At 46.6% G+C, this 19,345-nt stretch overlaps 1 protein-coding gene, 1 long non-coding RNA gene and 1 pseudogene across 22 annotated transcripts in view; 2 read left to right on the top strand and 1 right to left on the bottom strand.

Annotated features, from left to right (window-relative positions):
* ZSCAN5A (zinc finger and SCAN domain containing 5A) overlaps positions 1 to 19,345 on the top strand; it is a 146,976-nt gene that overhangs the window by 106,580 nt on the left and 21,051 nt on the right. The gene's annotated exons all lie outside the window — the stretch shown is intronic.
* Positions 731 to 6,640, top strand: LOC124904775 (uncharacterized). The gene is made up of 2 exons (XR_007067350.1): positions 731 to 4,045; positions 4,190 to 6,640. It is a non-coding gene; the product is annotated as an uncharacterized LOC124904775 (long non-coding RNA).
* On the bottom strand, positions 14,232 to 17,774 carry ZSCAN5DP (zinc finger and SCAN domain containing 5D pseudogene; annotated as a pseudogene).

The raw sequence follows: 19,345 nt of genomic DNA, 5'->3' as shown, positions 1-19,345 counted from the left end.
ATCTCTTTTTCTCCCCTTTTTCTCCCCTAATACACTTTTCAGTTGTATTTTGATTCTCTCTCTCTGTCTCCCTCTCTCTCTCCCTCTCTCTCTCAATTTGCTCCTGGATCTGATCCAGTCCTGAAAGACACTTTCAAGTCAGGCAGCTATCTGTGCTTTATCCAGCCTCTTCTGGGGAATACTGGACAGATAACAGGGTTCTCTCTAAAGAAAATTAGGTTTCATTCACCAGTGGGGGCCATGCTTGGGAGAAAGATGTCCCTGAGCTAAGGGAAAGTCCCAGCTCAGATGTCACTTCCTTCAGGAAGTCCTCCATGATTAATGGAGGCAGATTAGATGCCTGTTCTAGGAATGTCACAGCCCCTGAGCTACCACTGGGAGATCAGTACCATATCCTGTAGACAACATCAATTTGGCCATCAGCCAGGCTTTGGACTTAATTCCTGTCTCTGTCACTTAAGCTCCCTACATTTTATTTTTTTCTTTTTTTTTTTTGAGAGTCTTGCTCTGTCACCCAGGCTGGAGTGCAGTGGCACAATCTCAGCTCACTGCAACCTCCGCCTCCCAAGTTCAAGAGATTCTCCTGCCTCAGCCTCCCAAGTAGCTGGGATTACAGGTGCCTGCCACCACACCTGGCTAATTTTTGTATTTTTAGTAGAGATGGGGTTTCACCATGTTGGCCAGGCTGGTCTTGAACTCCTGACCTCAGATGATCCACCCGCCTCGGCCTCCCAAAGTGTTGGGATTACAGACATGAGCCACCACGCCCAGCCACATTTTCCATTTCTATAAAATGAGTGTAACAGTTTCTTGCAGTTGGTTGTGGAGTTTAAGTGAGGTAATTTTTACAAAAAAGAGTGCTCTCCAAATGTTTATAAATTAAAAGAAAAATATCTTCTAGCTCAGGGCTTCCCAAGCTTCTCTCAAGAAAGTACCACCTCCTAGTTTTTTGTCAATTCCATGTGTATCCTTAGTATTACTTTTTATTGATTGATTTTCCTCAAACATATTAACTTGTTTACTTAGATGGTCACTGTAGCTTTATCCTAAGCAATACCTAAATACAATAAAATTGCAGATTTTTGTCCTACTGATATTTTACTGCACATTAAAATATGTAATTATATTAGTTTCAACACCAGAGGGAAAAAAAAGAAAAAAGAAATTAAAAAAATGTAAAAAAAAGCCCAGGCGCGGTGGCTCATGCCTGGAATCCCAGCACTTTGGGAGGCCGAGGCGGGCGGATCACCTGAGGTCGAGAGTTCGAGACCAGCCTGACCAACATGGAGAAACCCCATCTCTACTAAAAATACATAACTAGCCGGGCGTGGTGGCACATGCCTGTAATCCCAGCTACTAGGAAGGCTAAGGCAGGAGAATTGCTTGAACCCTGGAAGCGGAGGTTGCAGTGAGCCGAGATCGCACCATTGCACTCCAGCCTGGGCAACAAGAGTGAAACTGTCTCCAAAAAAAAAAAAAAAAAAGTAAAAAAATATTTAATTACTAAAACAAAATCTATATATTTCCCAAAATATTCTCTAATATGTCCATGGTTGGTAGATATTACAGAGCTTAGAAAAGTTTTGCTAGTTGAGAGCAGAGGCTCAAACCTGAAGTTAGTGGTGTTCTCCTTGCCGATATTGTTTCATTGTTATTTTTATTAACTTTTTTCTTTTTAAAAACATTTTTTATAGCATTTAACAATTTTTTAATTTTTATTTTTTTAAAACAAGGTCTCGCTCTGTCACCCAGGCTGGCGTGCAAGGGCACGATCACAGCTCATTTGCAGCCTCGACTTCCCTGGCTTAAACTAGCCTCCACCTCAGCCTGCTGAGTAGCTGGGACCACAGTCAAGTGCCACCATGCCCAGCTAATTTTTATATTTTTTGTAGAGATGGGGTTTCGTTACATTGCCCAGGCTAATCTTAAACTCCTGAACTCAAGCAGTTCACCTGCCTTGGCCTCCCAAAGTGCTGGGATGACAGGCGTGGGCCACCGTGCCCGGTCAACTTTTTCATTTACTTTCAGATAAGCTGCTTGGCATGCACACAAATCCTGAGTATGAAACTCCCTTAAAATCCATTTTTAGCTACTCAAACACATGAATTTTCTGCCACTAAAATTTTTAGTACACACGCCACAAGCATACCTCCATAGATCTCACAAGTGCCTCTCAATAAACAAAAGGGGCAGAGAGGACAGAACGGGTAAACGAGAGGCATGAACAGGAACCAAATCCCAAAGAAAAGGCTGATTGAATTCTAGAGACTGAGATCCCAGGGAAATCGTACGAGGGTCCAGGTAAGAAGAGGGTAAGATCAGAATTACAGGGTGCAGCCAGGCGCGGTAGCTCACATCTGTAATCCCAGCACTTTGGGAGTCCGAGGCTGGTGGATTGCTTGAGCTCAGAAGTTCATGGTTCTACCATGTTGCTCAGACCAGCCTGGGCAACATGGTAAGACCTCATCTCTATTTTAAAAAAAAAATTAATAAAATAAGTACAGGGTGGGAAGACACAATGCTGTTCCAGTTATCTGTAGCTGTATAACACATCACCCCAAAACTCAGTGACTCAGAACAACAGTGCTTTTAGTATCTCTGTGGGTCAGGAAATCGGTGGTGGGCTCAGCTGGGTGGTTAGGCTCAGGGTCTCTTCTGTGCTGACTAGAGCTGGATCTCCAGGTGACTGAAACAGCTGGGGCCCACCCACCAGCTCTCTCTTCTCATGCTGTCTCAGGTCCTCTCCGTGTGTCGTGGGCTAGGTGGGGCTCCCTCACAACATGGCAGCCTCTGGACAATGGGACAGCTGAGGGGAACTGAGGCCTTCGTGCACTTAAGGGGGAGGTTGTGTCGTCTTTTCTGACCTAGCCTCAGGAGTCACGCAATGTCCCTTCTGCCACTTTCTGTTGGAGACAAGCAAGTCACAGCCCTGCCCAGATGCAAGGGGATGGAAATCCAACTCCACCTCTTGATGAGGACCTGACACATTTGAACAGATCAGATGGGAGAGTGTTGTGATCATCTTCAAAAACCACAGCAAGTGTGTTTGTGTGTCTGTTACCCCCTACACCGGAAGGCGTGTCGGTCACCCCCCACACTGGAAGGCGTGTCTGTCACCCCCTACACTGGAAAGTGTGTCTGTCACTCCCCACACTGGAAGGTGTGTCTGTCACCCCCCCACACTGGAAGGTGTGTCCGTCACCCCCACACTGGAAGGCGTCTCTGTCACCCCCCACACTGGAAGGTGTGTCTGTCAACACCCACACTGGAAGGCGTGTCCGTCACCCCCACACTGGAAGGCGTGTCCGTCACCCCCACACTGGAAGGTGAGACCTTCAAGGACAAGGACTCCATTTCCTCTCAGTGTCCCTTGTGCCCACACGAGACCTGATACGTAGTCAGTGCTCAGTATTTATGGAAGACTCTATTGGTGGCCCAGAAAAGGCTCACAGAAGAGATAAGCTTGGTTGTGCTGAAACCACACCCCCTCACTACCCTGTTATAGCACCAAGAGGCGGGTGGGAGCTGAGTCCTGGGAACCTGCGAAAGGCTTGCAGAATCCCCCAGCACCTGTGTCTAAGAAGATGGGCAGTGGTAGGAGGCAGGAGCCAGGTGTGAAAGGCTTGCAGAGTCTCCCGGCGCCTGTGTCTAAGAAGATCGGGCAGTGGTGGGAGGCAGGAGCCAGGTGTGAAAGGCTTGCAGTCTCCCGGCGCCTGTGTCTAAGAAGATCGGGCAGTGGTGGGAGGCAGGAGCCAGGTGTGAAAGGCTTGCAGAGTCTCCCGGCGCCTGTGTCTAAGAAGATCGGGCAGTGGTGGGAGGCAGGAGCCAGGTGTGAAAGGCTTGCAGAGTCTCCCGGCGCCTGTGTCTAAGAAGATGGGCAGTGGTGGGAGGCAGGAGCCAGGTGTGAAAGGCTTGCAGAGTCCCCTGGCGCCTGTGTCTAAGAAGATGGGCAGTGGTAGGAGGCAGGAGCCAGGTGTGAAAGGCTTGCAGAGTCCCCCGGCGCCTGTGTCTAAGAAGATGGGCAGTGGTGGGAGGCAGGAGCCAGGTGTGAAAGGCTTCCAGAGTCCCCCAGCGCCTGTGTCTAAGAAGATGGGCAGTGGTAGGAGGTAGGAGCCAGGTGTGAAAGGCTTGCAGAGTCCCCCGGCGCCTGTGTCTAAGAAGATGGGCAGTGGTGGGAGGCAGGAGCCAGGTGTGAAAGGGGACCAGCTCTTCAGCCAGGTAACAATGGTGGGCATCTCGCTCCCACATACCAATGGTCTGTTTAGTACTGCAGGGACACTGCAGTCCATATCCCAGGGACAAGTGTTCTGTATCCTCCCGTGACATCTGTTGGGAACGTGGAGATCAGCCCTTGGGTTCATCTCCACCTGCCTCCCTTTGTTCTCCCAGCCCTGATCAGTCACCTGGTTCCAGGGATTCTAACGTGTAAATCTCACTCGAATCTCTCCTTTCGTGTCCATTCACATTGCTTCTGTCCAAACTTGGGATGCCCCTGGTTCCCCGCTCTCCTGCCATCACTCCTTCTGCAAACTCGCCCCTCTTGGACCTAAGCCTGACATGTGGCTCTTCTCTCCACACTCTGTCTTTTGAGGGGCTATCTAACCCCGCTAGAAATGATAGCCAAGTCAGGTGTCTATTCCAGAGCCCTTACGCAGGTATTCCCCTGATGGCAAATACACCTCTGGACATCCCACATGTTAAGTTAAATGAGCATTTAATTTCCCCTTCCCACCAGCTCCTCATCTTGGGTTTCCCTTTCGGGGGGATCCCAGAACCACCTGTTTGCTTTTTTTTTTCACCACTATCTGCAACAGATAATCCATCGCAAAACAGGTGGCTCCGGATTTTTCCAGTGCTTCTCAAACATTTCTTCTGCTTCATCAACAGCCCTTCCCTGAACTCAGGACACAATCGTCACACGACTGGATGTCAGGGATCAAGCCCTGGGTGACCTGCCCACTGGTCCCTGCCACCAGGGGCTGCCCCTATATCTGTCTCCACACTAACTGCCAGAATGATATGAAATTTGAATCATGCCACACCCATGTTTAAATCTCCTCAGTGTCTCCCCCGTTTTTCTGCATCTTAAAATACGTGTCTGTGGATATGTGTATATACAATATATATAATGCATGTATGTATATATGTATACACGCACACACCTGAAAAATGTAAGGACATGCACTACATATTAAAAATACAGGCTGAGCACAGTGGCTTACTCTGTAATCCCAGCACTTTGGTTGGGAGGCTAAGGTGGGAGGATCACTTGAGCTCAGGAGTTCAAGACCAACCTGGGCAACATGACAGAACTCTGTCTCTACAAAAACCACAAAAGATTAGCCGGGTGTGGTGGTGTGCACCCATAATCCCAGCTACTCAGGAGGCCGAGGAGGGAGGATTGCTTGAGCCCAGGAGGTCAAGGCTGCAGTGAGCTATGATCGCACCACTGCACTCCAGCCTGGGCAACAGAGTAAGACCCTGTCTCAAACAAACAAACAAAACAACAAAAAATTTAAAATCCTCTCTTTATGGTGGGATTATGGATGACATATATTCTCCATTATCCTTTTTTCTGTATTTTAAAGCATTTCCTCCTGACTGTTCTTTCTTTTTATTGTGTTTCTAGTTTTTTAGTGTGTGTGCATTTTCTCTTCTGAACTTTACCAGCTACTTAACAAGTTCTATTCAAATATCTCATTAAAAGTTTCATGGGAATACAATTTCCAAATGTATTCACTACATGCATGTATGTTATCTTCAGGATTGGAAACAGGCAATAATTACTGTTTTTTAAATAAGCCCTGAAATAAATCAAGTCACCCTTGAGGCCAGCAGTTAACAAATCATGTTTTCTGCCTCCTCAGAGTTAACTTTTTGATGCCAGTTTAGCAGCTCAACGGGCAGAAATAGAGCCAGGTGCTTTGGGACTCATTAAAACCACCCTAACAACCCTCCTAGGGACCCTGAGAATAGACGACACCATGTTTTTCATCCGTCCAGGTAGGCTGTGTAATTATGATCAGTTTATTCAACCCATCTCAGGGCTGGCAAGAAAAACAGCTTCTTTGAGGGAGAAAAAAAAAAAGCCAAAGGGAAAAACCACGTTGGGTCACAGGCAAGAGGGGTTTGGGAATTAATCAACGTGGACCCGTTAGAGGGAGTGAAACAGTGAGATGGCAGGTGGAGAGTTGCACTGGGCTACGGCACAGAGTCGGCCTGTGAGCACTGAGGCAGGTTGGGTTTTTTGTTTTTCTGTTTGCTCGTGGGCAGCAGCGGGCGGCAGACTTTCTAATTCTCTGTGGCTGACTGGGCAAAGTCTTCCCTACCACAGGCAAATCCATAGCTTCCCTCCCCACTCCCCACCTTGTGCGCTCAGCCGGCTATTGTCCACGCTTTGCTCAATATTGACGTTCTTGGAATTGTAGGTTATATATCACTTTGTGTATTTTTTGGACTATCTAAATATTATTCAAAAGCTTTCCTAACTAAAATGGAAGTTCCTTTCCTGTTTCCAATGGGAGCAGCTTTAAAAATGCAGAAAGCCTGTGAAAATGTCAGAACACGACAAATCATAAACTGATAACGTGCCATTTACTGTACCTCACTTATTCCTAAATAAAATTGTAATAAGAAAATATATATTTTAAAATATATATTTTAAAACTCACAGTTTTTGCATCAAAGGTCACAATCAACAGAGTGAAAGCAACCAATGGAATAGGGGGATACCATATTCGCACATTACATATCTGAAAAGGGGTTCATCTCCAGAGTATATAAAGAACGCTAACTCAACAACAAAACACTAACAACATGATTTTAAAATGGGCAAAGAACTTAGACATTTCTCCAAAGAAGGTCTACAAATGGCCAACAGACACAAGAAAAGGCACTCCACCTCACTAATAATTAGGGAAATGTAAATCAAAACCACACCACTGCTATCAAAAAACAGAAAATAACAAATTTTGCCAAGGATGTGGAGAAATGGGAACCCTGGTATACTGTTAATACACAAGGAAAACAGCATGGCAGCCCCCCCCAAAAATTAAACATAGAATTACGATATAATCCAGGAATGCCACTTCTGCTTATGTACCTAAAAAATTGGAAGCAGGAACTCATACTCCTATGTTCATTGCAACGTTATTCACAATAGCTCAGAAGTAGGAGCTACCCAAGCGTTCACTGAAGGAATAGATAAACAAAATATGGTCCATCTGTACAATGGAATATTATTCCCCTTTCCAAAGGGAGGACATTGTGACACATGCTACAAAGACCTCATTTGACACCAGAAAAAATAATATAATAATGTTAGCAGTTTATCCTAGAATTTGTTACAACTAATAGGTAAGATGATGAAAACATTGGTCTCCTCCTGAAATTGTATAATAAATAAAATAGTCTATACACTAATTAGAATGTAATTATATATAGCAACCAAAGTTTATGTAATACTTTGGGACCAACAACAATGATTTGTATAATAATAAAATATTTCATTATAAAATTTAAATATACATTCTAGTAGAGTACAAGAAAAAAATGTCAGATCGAGTGAACCATCATATGAACCACCAAATTTAGCCTCACACTAACAGAAGAGGAAGACTTATTTAAAAAAAAAAAAAAAGATGCTCATTCACTGGTATATCAGTTAGATAACCTTTTCTGTTGTTTGACGCTTTGGTTATGTTTAATGTCAAACAGAAGCAGAACCATCTAGCTGTTATCTGTTAGAACAAGATCTTTTCTGCCATCTGCTGGACATCTGTCATAACTATACAAATTAGCTATAAAATCATTCTAACTTTAAATTTTTAACATAAGCTGGGTGCGTATGATGCTAGTGGCACCGGCTTAGACACAGCCACCTTACCCCGTGCAAAACCTGAATTGACGAAGAGACACTGCATCCCTACTTTCTCCAGTTCTCATCCACTCAGATCTTCAACTTCTTATTGTAAGAAAAAAAAATGTATTTAGTGTCTGTAACACCGGATAACGTCTCCCCACGCGTCCTCATTCTGTTGACATCCCAACGTTCAAAACTGTTCACCTCAGTCCTTAATATCACAACCCTCACCTCCAGCCAGTGTGTGTCTTGCCAGCACACCGATGGGAGCCACTTGTTCACGTCCCTTCACTGGGGTGCACAGACTGCCACCCAGGTGTTCAGCTTTCTGGCATTTTCCTGTTATTTGCGTGCTTTATTTGGTGCACGGGATTCTTTTACAAGTTCTATGATCCTGCGGACAAGCCACTACTTCCATTTCAGGTGTTCCAACCTTTCTAGGTGAGCTATATTCTTGGGGTCCACAAATTTCTCTCTCCATCTTTTTTTCTCTCCCCCTCCACCCCTCCTCCCTGCCCACCTTCTGTTGCTCTTCTGACCATCCAGAGGACTTTTTTTTTTTTTTTTTTTGAGACAGCCTCTTGCTCTGTCACCCAAGCTGGAGTGCAGTGGCACAATCACAGCTCAAAATTCCCAGGCTCAGGTGATCCTCCCACCTCAGCCTCCAGAGTAACTGAACCTATAGGCTCACACCTCTGCAAGGGAAAGGAACAGGGCTTCTGTGTCAGTTACCAGTCAATTGCCTCCCAGCTTCTAAGTCCACAGGTTCAGTGCCGGCCCTGCAATCACGGAGCTGTCCTGGCAACTTTGCAGGGAGCGCAGTGCTAGGCTCTGCCACTAGAGGGGGTGGGAGGGATATCCCAGGAGGAAGAGGCGCCACTGCGCCGCCATCTTGTCTTTCTTCTTGCTCCTGTTATGGCCTTGTCAGCCCCACGTGAATGGGGCCCCCTGGCGTGTTCACGACCCCAGCTCCTGCCTGTGGCTGCCTTACCACAGGCCTCTCCATACTCCAGCCACCAGCCTTGGCCCCTGGACCCCAGAAGGCTGCCTCCTATTTCCCCTGGTGACCATGGTCCCACCCTTGCCCAACCAGAGGCCTCACCCAGACGTTGAGGTTCATACCTCCACTTTTGACTTGCTCTTTCCTTGGGATTATTAAAAGTTTGACCATGTTTGATGTTTGTTTCTTATCACCCCACAGCTGGACAAGCTGATTAGAAAACCTGGGTACTCCCTCTTCTAGTGCCAGTGGGGAGTTCAAACCCTGTGCAGTACCCCTGGCTGTGGCCCATCCCCTAAGCACCATAAAACCCCAACCCCAAACCAGCCTCCTTTCTCTGCCCTCTCAAGCCACATTCAGACCAGCTTGGGAAAGCCCACTCTGCTCTCTTCAGAAATCCTGTTATGTAATAAGCTTCATACCCTCTTGGAGTGTGGGTATGTGTGTGTCCTCAGTCTTAACATTCAAACTCAATTTTGGGTGGTGTAATCCTTTTTCTCCTGGGCGGCCCCAACCTTTGCGTTGTTACAGCCTCTCACCTGCTCAAGCCAGGTTTGGGTAGGTGCACCTGAATCCATCAGTTCTCCTTTTTCTCTCCCAGAAAACCATAAGAGAATCTTGATTGCTCCCATATCCTCTCTTACCCAGCACCCTCCAATCCATTATCACTTGACAGGCATGTTGAGCTTTAAATTAGGTAAACCCAATTGTGCTGCTCCATTCTTTAAAATTTGTCAATGGATTCCCATTCCTCTGAGAAACCTTCCTCCCTAGGTATCCTTCAGAATTCTTTTTTCTTTATAGTTAGGCCCATGTTGTGGTCAATAAATCTTTATTTTGGAGGTCAGAAAGCTTTTTTCCACAAAGGAGCAGAGAATATATATTTTAGGTTTTGCAGGCTATTTGGTCTATGTTGGATATTCTTCTCTGGTTTGCTCATATTACCACACTTTAAAAATATAAAAAACAATTCTTGCCCAGGTGTGCTGGTTCACATCTGTAATTCCAGCGCTTTGGAAGGCCAAGGCAGGAAGATCAATTGAGCTCAGGACTTTGAGACTGGCCTGGGCAACATAGTGAGACACTGTCTCTATAAAAACATTTAAAAATTAGCCAGGCTGAGCGGGCAGGATAACTTGGACTGGCTTATTTCACTTAACACAATCACCTGCTGGAAGCTGGTGCCCAGGAGATCAAGGCTTCAGTAAGCTATGATCATGCTACTGCACTCCATCCTGAGTGACAGAATAAGACCCTGTAAAACACACACACACAAAACTATTTTCTAGCTGTGGGCTATTGAAGGTAGCAGGCCATCGTGTGCCAGCCCCTGCTTTATATTAAATGCTGCTTGTGCAAATTGCTGTGGGTTTTTTTCTCTTCATTGGACTCTGACTGATACAGCTTCTCAATGCAGATTCTCTTTCGAAACTCCCAATCATTTTTCCCCAGAGAAAGAATACGCTAGAAAGTGGATAAAGGCCAAAAGTCCAAAACTAGTGTATCTTCAACTACACAGAAAAGCACCAAAAATGGGCCATAGACATCCCCCATTCAAAAAAATTAAACATCATGGAGAAAGGCACCCCCAGTCAGTCACTGAATACAGAAGGGTCTTCCTGAAGTACGGAGGGTAACAGAGACTGACAGTCACAAGGGTCATCAGTGGTCTTTTTTTTTTTTTTTTTTACACGGAGTCTAGCTCTGTTGCCCAGGCTGGAGTGCAGTGGCACGATCTTGGCTCACTGCAATCTCTGCCACCCGGGTTCAAGCGATTCTCCTGCCCCAGCTTCCCAAGTAGCTGGGACTACAGGTGCATGCCACCACACCTGACTAATTTTTTGTATTTTTAGTAGAGACAGGATTTCACTGTGTTAGCCAGGATGGTCTTGATCTTTTGCCCTCGTGATCTGCCTGCCTTGGCCTCCCAAAGTGCTGGGATCAGTGGTCATTTAGTTGAATAGCTTAGGCCACATAAAGCACATGGTCTTTTTGCTAAAAAGAATAGAATCCATAGAAAATAAAATGTAAAGAGTGTAACAGCAGGATTAGATTTGCTCACTTTCATACTCAGTATGGCTGCCATGTGATAATGGGTGGAAAGCCGTTGGGTAGGAGCGGATGTGGGAGAAATAAAACACTTAGTGTAGCATTCTGGGTAAGAAACCAGAAGGATTGAATATTTCAAATGCACTTATCAGACACTGGCCTCAAGATGCTGACTTGAGCAGTAAGAGATGGTAAGATTTTGCTCAGTTGATGCAAAGCTGGAACCCAGAGGAGACTGCCTCCTCACCACTGAAATGAGGGTCTATTGACGAGCAGCATGTGCCTCACCTGGAGCCTGTCACTGAATCAGACCCTGCATTTTAACAAGATCTGAGGGTGAATTATATGCACATTAAAAATTTGAGGGCCACGAGGTTACAGTAAATGAAGCGAGATGCTAGAAATTTCTCTTTATACTGTACACCAGTGGTTCTCAACCTTTGTTGCACATTAGAATTACCTGGAAAAATTTTTTAAACCTGATTTCCAAGTATCGACTCAAACTCGTATCTCTTGAGGGTGAGAGTCAGGCATCAATATGTTTCAAAATTGTCTGGGGATGGAGAAAGGGAGTCGCTCTTGAGCAGGTCTTTGCTATCTTATCCTTAGGAGCAGCCAGCCTTAAATCCACTCTCTCAGGGTGTCCTGTCTATTCTGCCCTTACCTTTCAAAATTTTCTTATTCCTTTGCAATGAATTACTCTATGCTGCATCTCTTTTACTGTGTGTCTATTGTTTACATTCCTTTAAATTAAGAAGACAAGAACCGAGGTGTCACAACAGTGAACTTTAATAAATGAATCCAGCCTATTTCCGGAGTTCTGAGGATCTCTGGTCTCTGCCTCTGTGAGCTCAACCAGCCATTCATGAAATACCCTCCCAAGACCAGCAGCATCAGCATCACTGAAAATGCAGATGCTCAGGTTATTTAAAACAAGTAAAATCTGAGAAATTTTCACCAAGAGGAGCCTAGGGAGGCATGACAACTCAAGGCAATGTGGCGCCTTGGATGGAAAAGAAGGAAGAGGAGGCCATCGTATCAACACTGAGGAGGTCTCAATAAAATAGGCACCTGAGTTCACAGCAATATACAGAGTCAGCTCATCGCTTGTGGCAAATGTGCCGTATTAAAGAACCATGTGAACAGTGGGGGAAATGGTGCAGAGCATTGGCGAGCTCTATAGACTTTTGAAAGATATTCTAAGATGAAATCTAAGGCCAGGTATGGCGGCTCGTGCTCATGTAATCCCAGCACATTGGGAGGCTGAGCCAGGCAGATCACCCAAGATCAGAAGCTCCAGACCAGCCTGGCCAACATGGCGAAACCCTGTCTCTACTAAAAATAAAAAATTAGCCAGGCGTGGTGGCGGCACACCTGTAATTGCAGCTACTCAGAAGGCTGAGGCAAGTGAATTGCTTCAACCCGGGAGGTGGAGGTTGGGGTGAGCCGAGATTGCGCGACTGCACTCCAGCCAGCCTGGGTGACAGAGTGAGACTTGGTCTAAAATAAAATGAAGTCTATTTTTCAATGCAAACTCTAAGGCCACACCCCTGATCTACTAAACTGGAAGCTCTGGGATCAGGGCCCACCCTTTTGTAGATTAGCAAAGCCTTCAGGATGTGGTACTATCACTAAGACCAACTAGTCACCAGAGACTCCCAATGCCTCTGTAGTTCAAGATTCAAATCAGGAATTTAGAAGTTGCCAAATTTAGACCAAGAAATACACCATCTGGGGCGGGGAGATAAATAGGCAGAGCAGAGAGGATTCGGGGGGGGCAGTGAAAATATCCCCCATGATACTCCAGTGGTGGATACTCATGAGGCCTTTGTCCAAACCCACAGGATGTACAACACCCAGAGCGAGCCCTAATGAACACCATGGACTCTGGGTGGTGGTGATATGTCCAGGCAGGCTCACTGATGGAACAGGTGCACCGCTCTGCTGGGGATGCTGGGCGGGGAGAGGCTGTGCCGTGTGGGGAGGGAGTCTAGGGGAACTCTGTGCTGTCCACTGAATTTCCCTGTGAACCTAAAACAGCTCTGAAAAAGTCATTAGCCAGGCGTGGTGGCTCACACGTATACTCCGAGCACTTCTGGAGGCCAAGGTGGAAGGATCGCTTGAGGCCAGGACTTTGAGACCAGCCTTGGCAACAAAACCAGATCCCATCACTACAAAAAATTATTTCAAAAAATTTGAATAAAATAATACTAATAAAGCCTAATACAAACAATACAGGATGCAGTGGCTCACACCCGTAATAGCACTTTGGGGGGCCGAGGCAGGCAGATCACTTGAACTCAGGAGTTCAAGACCAGGCTGGGCAACGTGGCAAAACCCCTCTCTACAAAAAAATACAAAAATTAGCTGACATGGTGTGGTGTGTTCTAGTCCCAGCTACTCCGGCGGCCAAGACGGCAGAATTGCTTGAGCCGTGGAGGTCAGGTCTGCAGTGAGCTGTGATTACACCACTGCACTGCAGCCTGGGTGAAAGAGTGAGGCCCCATCTCAAAAGAAAAGAAAAGAGAAGAAAAAGAAGCAAAAAAGAAAACAATACAGGATACCCAATAGAAGCTGAGTTTCAGATAAATAATGAATAATTTAGAACAAGCTGATACTAAAAAAAAATTGTTTATTTGAAACACAGATTTCCCCAGGCATTGTGTATTTAATCTGGACACCTACTTTGACAACTTTAATTTACAGCAAAACAGTGGGTAATAGCATGTCAATCAGAAGGCTCCGTTTTTTGTTATAAAATACTGAAAACTAATTAGATGTTTGTTTATTGAAAGAACAGGCCAGGTGCGGTGGCTCACGCCTGTAATCCCAGCACTTTGGGAGGGTGAGGCGGGCGGATCACGAGGTCAGGAGATCGAGACCATCCTGGCTAACAGGTGAAACCACGTCTCTACTAAAAGTACAAAAAATTAGCCGGGCATGGTGGCAGGCGCCTGTAGTCCCAGCTACTCGGGAGGCTGAGGCAGGAGAATGATGTGAACCTGGGAGACTGAGCTGGCAGTGAGCCGAGATCGCACCACTGCACTCCAGCCTGGGTGACAGAACAAGACTCCGTCTCAAAAAAAATAATAAAAGAAAGAACAGCAACACACACCCACATAAACCTGTACGAAAACAATGGACCTAATGAAACAGAAAATAAAGCTCTGTGGGGAGAATGAATATTTACTCCGACATCCTGGCAATTCCTATCTAGGGCACTCCCTCTGTGTGCCAGGCGCCCTTGCACCTGCTTCATGTCATATCTCATCTAATAGCGTCAGTGAAAAATCATCCTTCACATTCTCTGGGTGCAGTGGTTTCTTGATGTGTTTTCTGGTGGTATTTTAACGTTTCAGGCCGACGAAAGGCTCTTAGACACTTGGGACATTTATAGGGTTTCTCTCCGGAGTGGATGAGCTTGTGCTCGTTCAGGTTCTTCCTGTAGGTGAAAACTTGGTTGCAGTCCTTACATTTATAGGGCTTCTCCCCCGTGTGGCTCCTCTTGTGACACTTCAAGGAGAACATCCTGTTGAACCGTTTGTGACAGATGTCACATGTGTAGGGCTTCTCACCAGTGTGGATTCGCTGGTGGACGCGGAGGTCTGAGAGCTGCGTGAAGCACCTCTCACAGAAATTACATTGAAAGGGTCTCTCTCCTGTGTGTGATCTCATGTGGATGGCTAGCTTGGAATTACACGTAAACCTCTTATTGCACACGCCACATGCAAAGGGCAGCAGTTCCTTGGCTTCTTGGCCATTGGGGTGACTGACTGCACCTGCAGGGCCTGGGGAATAAACTGAATTTATCTCAGGTTTTCCTGGGGATTCGCTGTTGCCCACAGGTGTGGCTCCTCCTTGAGGCCCTTCTTGGGAAATGGAGGTGGCGTCTGGTTTGCTTCTTTTGGGACATCTCAGATTCAGAGCGTCTCCTCTGCTCCCGCTGTGAGTCGAAGCTTCTCTCTCCACAACGCAGGCAGAAGGTGTGTCAGCATCCACATTTTCGACAGAGGCTCTTTTTTTGGGTTCCTTCCCCTCCTTTGCTCCCACCACACCTGCTGGAAGAAGGGATTCCACACACAACAGTTAATAAGGTACATTTTCAATACACCAAACTCATTGCAACCAAACACTGATGTTGGCTGACAACTTCCCCTCAACCTTAAACCTAAGACATTGGACCGTAGGTCTCTGGAGAGTAAGGGATGGAGAGGCTTTGGCAGCTGAGTGCCAACTCCCCCAGACATGATAATGCTGGGACCCCAGCCCCACACCCCAGAAGAGAGGGGCTAACCCCTGTGGATCCAAGTCTTCATACTCACTAGGACCGTTTGGAAGCTGAGGCTCTGGGGATGTAAGTCCCGTGTTTTCTTCCCTGTCTACGTTCAGATCCTTCTCCAAGGTTGGCTTGGGTCTCAGAGCCTTTGGGGCACTTTTCATGACAGTAGTCTCTGGCAGCAGGAAGTCCTCTTCCTGACAATGGAAAACCAACAGCAATGACTGCCCTGTCTAAACTGGTGGGTCATGGACATCACTGTCCCTTCCTGACTGGATACACCAACTTTTCTAATGACACAGGTTTAGGGATACGTGCAGACTTCCTATGGGCCTCCCACATCATCCCAAATAAACATCACCACCTCATTTCTGAGTCTCTCCCTAATCTGCACCCTCCATATTCTAAATCAGCTCCTGTGCCTGGTGGTTTTCACTGTTTGGTTCTCTGAGCATATTTCTCCCCGCTGTGCCAACGTCTCCCTGCCCCTGACACTGGAAGGAGCATGACTCTAGGTGGAGGCCCCTAACCCCTGGCACCACTGGCATTGGGGCTGCATCACCCTCCTGGAGGGGGCGCTCCTGTGCAGAGCAGAGACCCCGCCTCCACCCTCTAGATGCTATCAACACCCCACCACCCCCTACAATGACACACAAACACATCTCCAGACATGGCCATGTGTCCTGAAAGGCAAAATCACCCCAGTTGAGAAACACTCCTCAAATTAAGAAATTGACAATCTGTAGAAAGTGCGCTCCTTGCTGAATTATGACATTAAATGTCTTTGAGGAAACTGAATGGGGAAGGGACCTTCAGTTCATTCATCGGTGCCAACTGCCTCCCTCATTTCACTGAGACCATTTCTGACCCCCCACCCTACATGCTAAAAGCTCTCATGGTGGAGAGAAAAGTAGATGAGGCTTCATTCTCTGTGATGACTCAGGAATGTCTAAGGATGTAACACATCCATGGGGAATGTCTCTGTTCTTGTCCTGTGCCAAATCTCTCAATCAGTCCAGAGGCACACTCAGTTTTCTCCTGTTCCTTCTCCCACCTCTGCCCAGACACCAGGGCCTCACACACTCACCTGCCTTCTGGACAGTGCAGGGACCCTGGGCAGGGTCTGCAGCTCTTGGCTGGCCTGGCCTTCCCCCGGACGCATCTCATTCACAGAGGAGGCCCGCTGGCTGGACACGCCTCTCGGATCATCTCTGACACTGGCAGGGATTTCAGCCATCTCGACATCTGATTCCTGCATAAGATATTCCTTGCCAAGAAAATTGACCACAGACTGTAGAGAGAAAAAAGACAATCAGACTCACTATGAGAACCTGAAAGTAGCTCTCATATTCCCTGGGTCCTGCCATAATGCTCACACTTTACTGTAATGTTCAAATCTGCCTTCCCAATGCAGAATCAGCTCTGTGGACACAGCAATCTGTCTGAATTTTTTCCTTTTCTACATAAGTACATAAATATGAGTCCTTTAGATGAAAGGGTCTCTAAACCAAAGAGAAGACAAGGAGAAATATTCTGGGTGAATCCAACTCAATTGGCCGATGGCAGCTCACCTTGTATTAGAACTTAGGGGCTCATTTGGGGACCTGGAGGCAGATCCCTGCATCTGATACCAACCACTTTCCCTGCTTCAGGATGGGACTCCTGGGCCCCGCTTCAGTTCACTCTAATGCCTCCTTCCCTACATTCCATCAGACCTAATATTTCACCAATGTCTTTCTTTCATGTTGGCCTCACACAGTGTGTGGGTCCCTGTACCCCCTCTGCCTGTCCATCTCCTACACCAGGAACTTGCCGTCTCAGCACAGCTGATATTGGAATCTGGAAGATTATTTGTCATGGTGGGTTGTCCTGAGCATTAGAGAATGCTTAGCAGCGTCTCCTGTCCTCCCCCTTGTGACAACAAAAACTGTCCCCAGACACTGCCATGTGTCCCTGATGGGCAAACTCTCCTCTACTTGGAAGCCCTGACCTAGAGCAGCCCCTCGGGTCCTCTCGAGTCCAGCTGCACCGTGCAGCCCCCATCCCAGCTCCCCTTCCCTGCACCAGTCACGAGGGTCCCACTCACCCATTTCTTGGGTCTTCTGTTATTTCGTAGCAGGTCCTCCAGGTCTTTGCAGCTCTGCACACCGTTCACCTTGACTAAGACCTGGAGCTCCTGGGGCATGGAGATCATGAACTGCTCCATCACCAGCATGTCCAGGATCTGCTCTTTGGTGTGGAGGTCGGGCCTCAGCCACAGATGGCACAGCTCAGTGAGTTTCCTCAGAGCCTGGATGGGGTCCGACTCCTCTGGGCAGCTGAACATCCTGAAGTTCACGTGACAAGTCTCAGGGTCCCAGTCATGATTTCCAAGTTGAGTTTCTGGGGAAGCCACAGACTGTGGCGGCTCTGACTCAGGGCTGTTGCAGGGTCCTCCCTGACCCCATGAGGAGTTGCAATTTGCAGCCATATCTGGTGGAGAATATTTCAGTCAGTCTCTGAGAAAGTTCTTCCAGTAGCTGGTGTCTAATTGAGACCTATCTAGACAGGCCTCCTTTGGTTTTCCTCAATAATAGATTCACTGTTCAGAAGTCTGCAAAAAAAAACATGAGCCCGATCAAAGTTTCTAGTCTATCCACCCATCCCTTCCAAAACCCTCATCCAAATCCTGGACGCCACTTCTTCAGCAGCATCGAATTCAGCACAGTGGAAATCAACCCACCCTGTTACTCTTCCGCTGTCTACACCTGACTATATGTTCTGATTTAAAATCCTAATGCTCCCCTGGATTCTGATCTCCAGGAAATCATTGTGCAGAAGTGAAATCAGTTTTTTTTTCAATTGGAACAACATGGTTCCCAACTGTAAATTAAATAGGATACTTATGTGAAGCTCCTAAAATCTGATGCAACAATAACTTATTTATGTTTTCCTGTCCAGACAAGATCCAAGGTAAAGCCCTTCATCATAATTACGCACAAAGATAGAGAAAAATAGTTACAACCTACAGTTGTCCCCCAACACCTTTTCTTGTTAACCCCAGGACATTTGTTTGCTCCAGGGAAGGGAGAGCATTAAGTAATCATGAGAATTCAACTCCTACACAGATATTGCTATTTTGGTAAAATGCACATTCATAAATTTCATCATTTTTACCATCTTGAAGTGCACAATTTCATGGCACTAAGACATGCATGCACCATGCTGTGCAACCATCACCACTGTCTAGCTCCAGAATTGTCTCATCAGCCCAAAAGGAACCCCATCCCCATCAATGATCACCCTCTGCCCACCCACCCCAGCCCCTGCCAATCACTGATCTACCTTCTGTCTCTAAGGGTTTCTCTATTCCTAATCTCATCTCAGAAAATGGATTTAAAGTCTAGTGCTCTATGAAATTTTCAGGAAGTGAAATAATACGATAGATTTTTTGAGGCCAGGTGTGGTGGCTCATGCCTGTAGTCCCAACACTTTGGGAGGCCAAGACGGGAGGATCACTTGAGGTCAGGAGTTCGAGACCAGCCTGACCAAGATGGTGAAACTTCGTCTCTACTCAAAATACAAAAATTAGCCGGGCATGGTGGCACGTGCCTGTAATCCTAGCTACTTGGCAGTCTGAGGCAGGAGAATCACTTGAATCAGGGAGGTGGAAGTTGTAGTGAGCCGACATCACGCCATTGCACTCCAGCCTGGGCAACAAGAGCGAGACTCCGTCTCAAAAAAAAAAGAGAGAAAGAAAGAACGATTTTTTGAAATTTGGTTCTAAATGTAGTTTCATTAGGCAGGACACACTGTGTGATACTCTCCAGGCATCAGTTATTATCCAAGTTCAACAGCTGTGAGAACGCAGCCCTGTCTTCCTAGCCACAGGTGGGGGAAGCAACCGAAAGGTCTTCAGAAGGAAGAAAGAATTGACAGGAGGGTCTCGGGAAAGGTCACTGGAATCCTGAAGGATGGAAAACCTACGCTTCCTGGAAGGAATCTGAGCAAGTACAGAACACAGAGACAGCCAGGGAGACAATCAGCAGAGGGGGAAGACAACCCAGAGGAGACAATATTTACACACCACACATCTCACAAGCAGTTCCTGTGCAAAACATAAGCAACTCAAACTACTCCAGAGCAAGAAAACACATAACCCGCTAGAAGTGGGCAAGGT

The sequence above is a fragment of the Homo sapiens genome, chromosome 19, assembly GCF_000001405.40.
Source record: "Homo sapiens chromosome 19, GRCh38.p14 Primary Assembly".
In the NCBI taxonomy this organism is placed as follows: Eukaryota; Metazoa; Chordata; class Mammalia; order Primates; family Hominidae; genus Homo; species Homo sapiens.
This window is presented reverse-complemented; position numbering and strand designations above follow the sequence as displayed.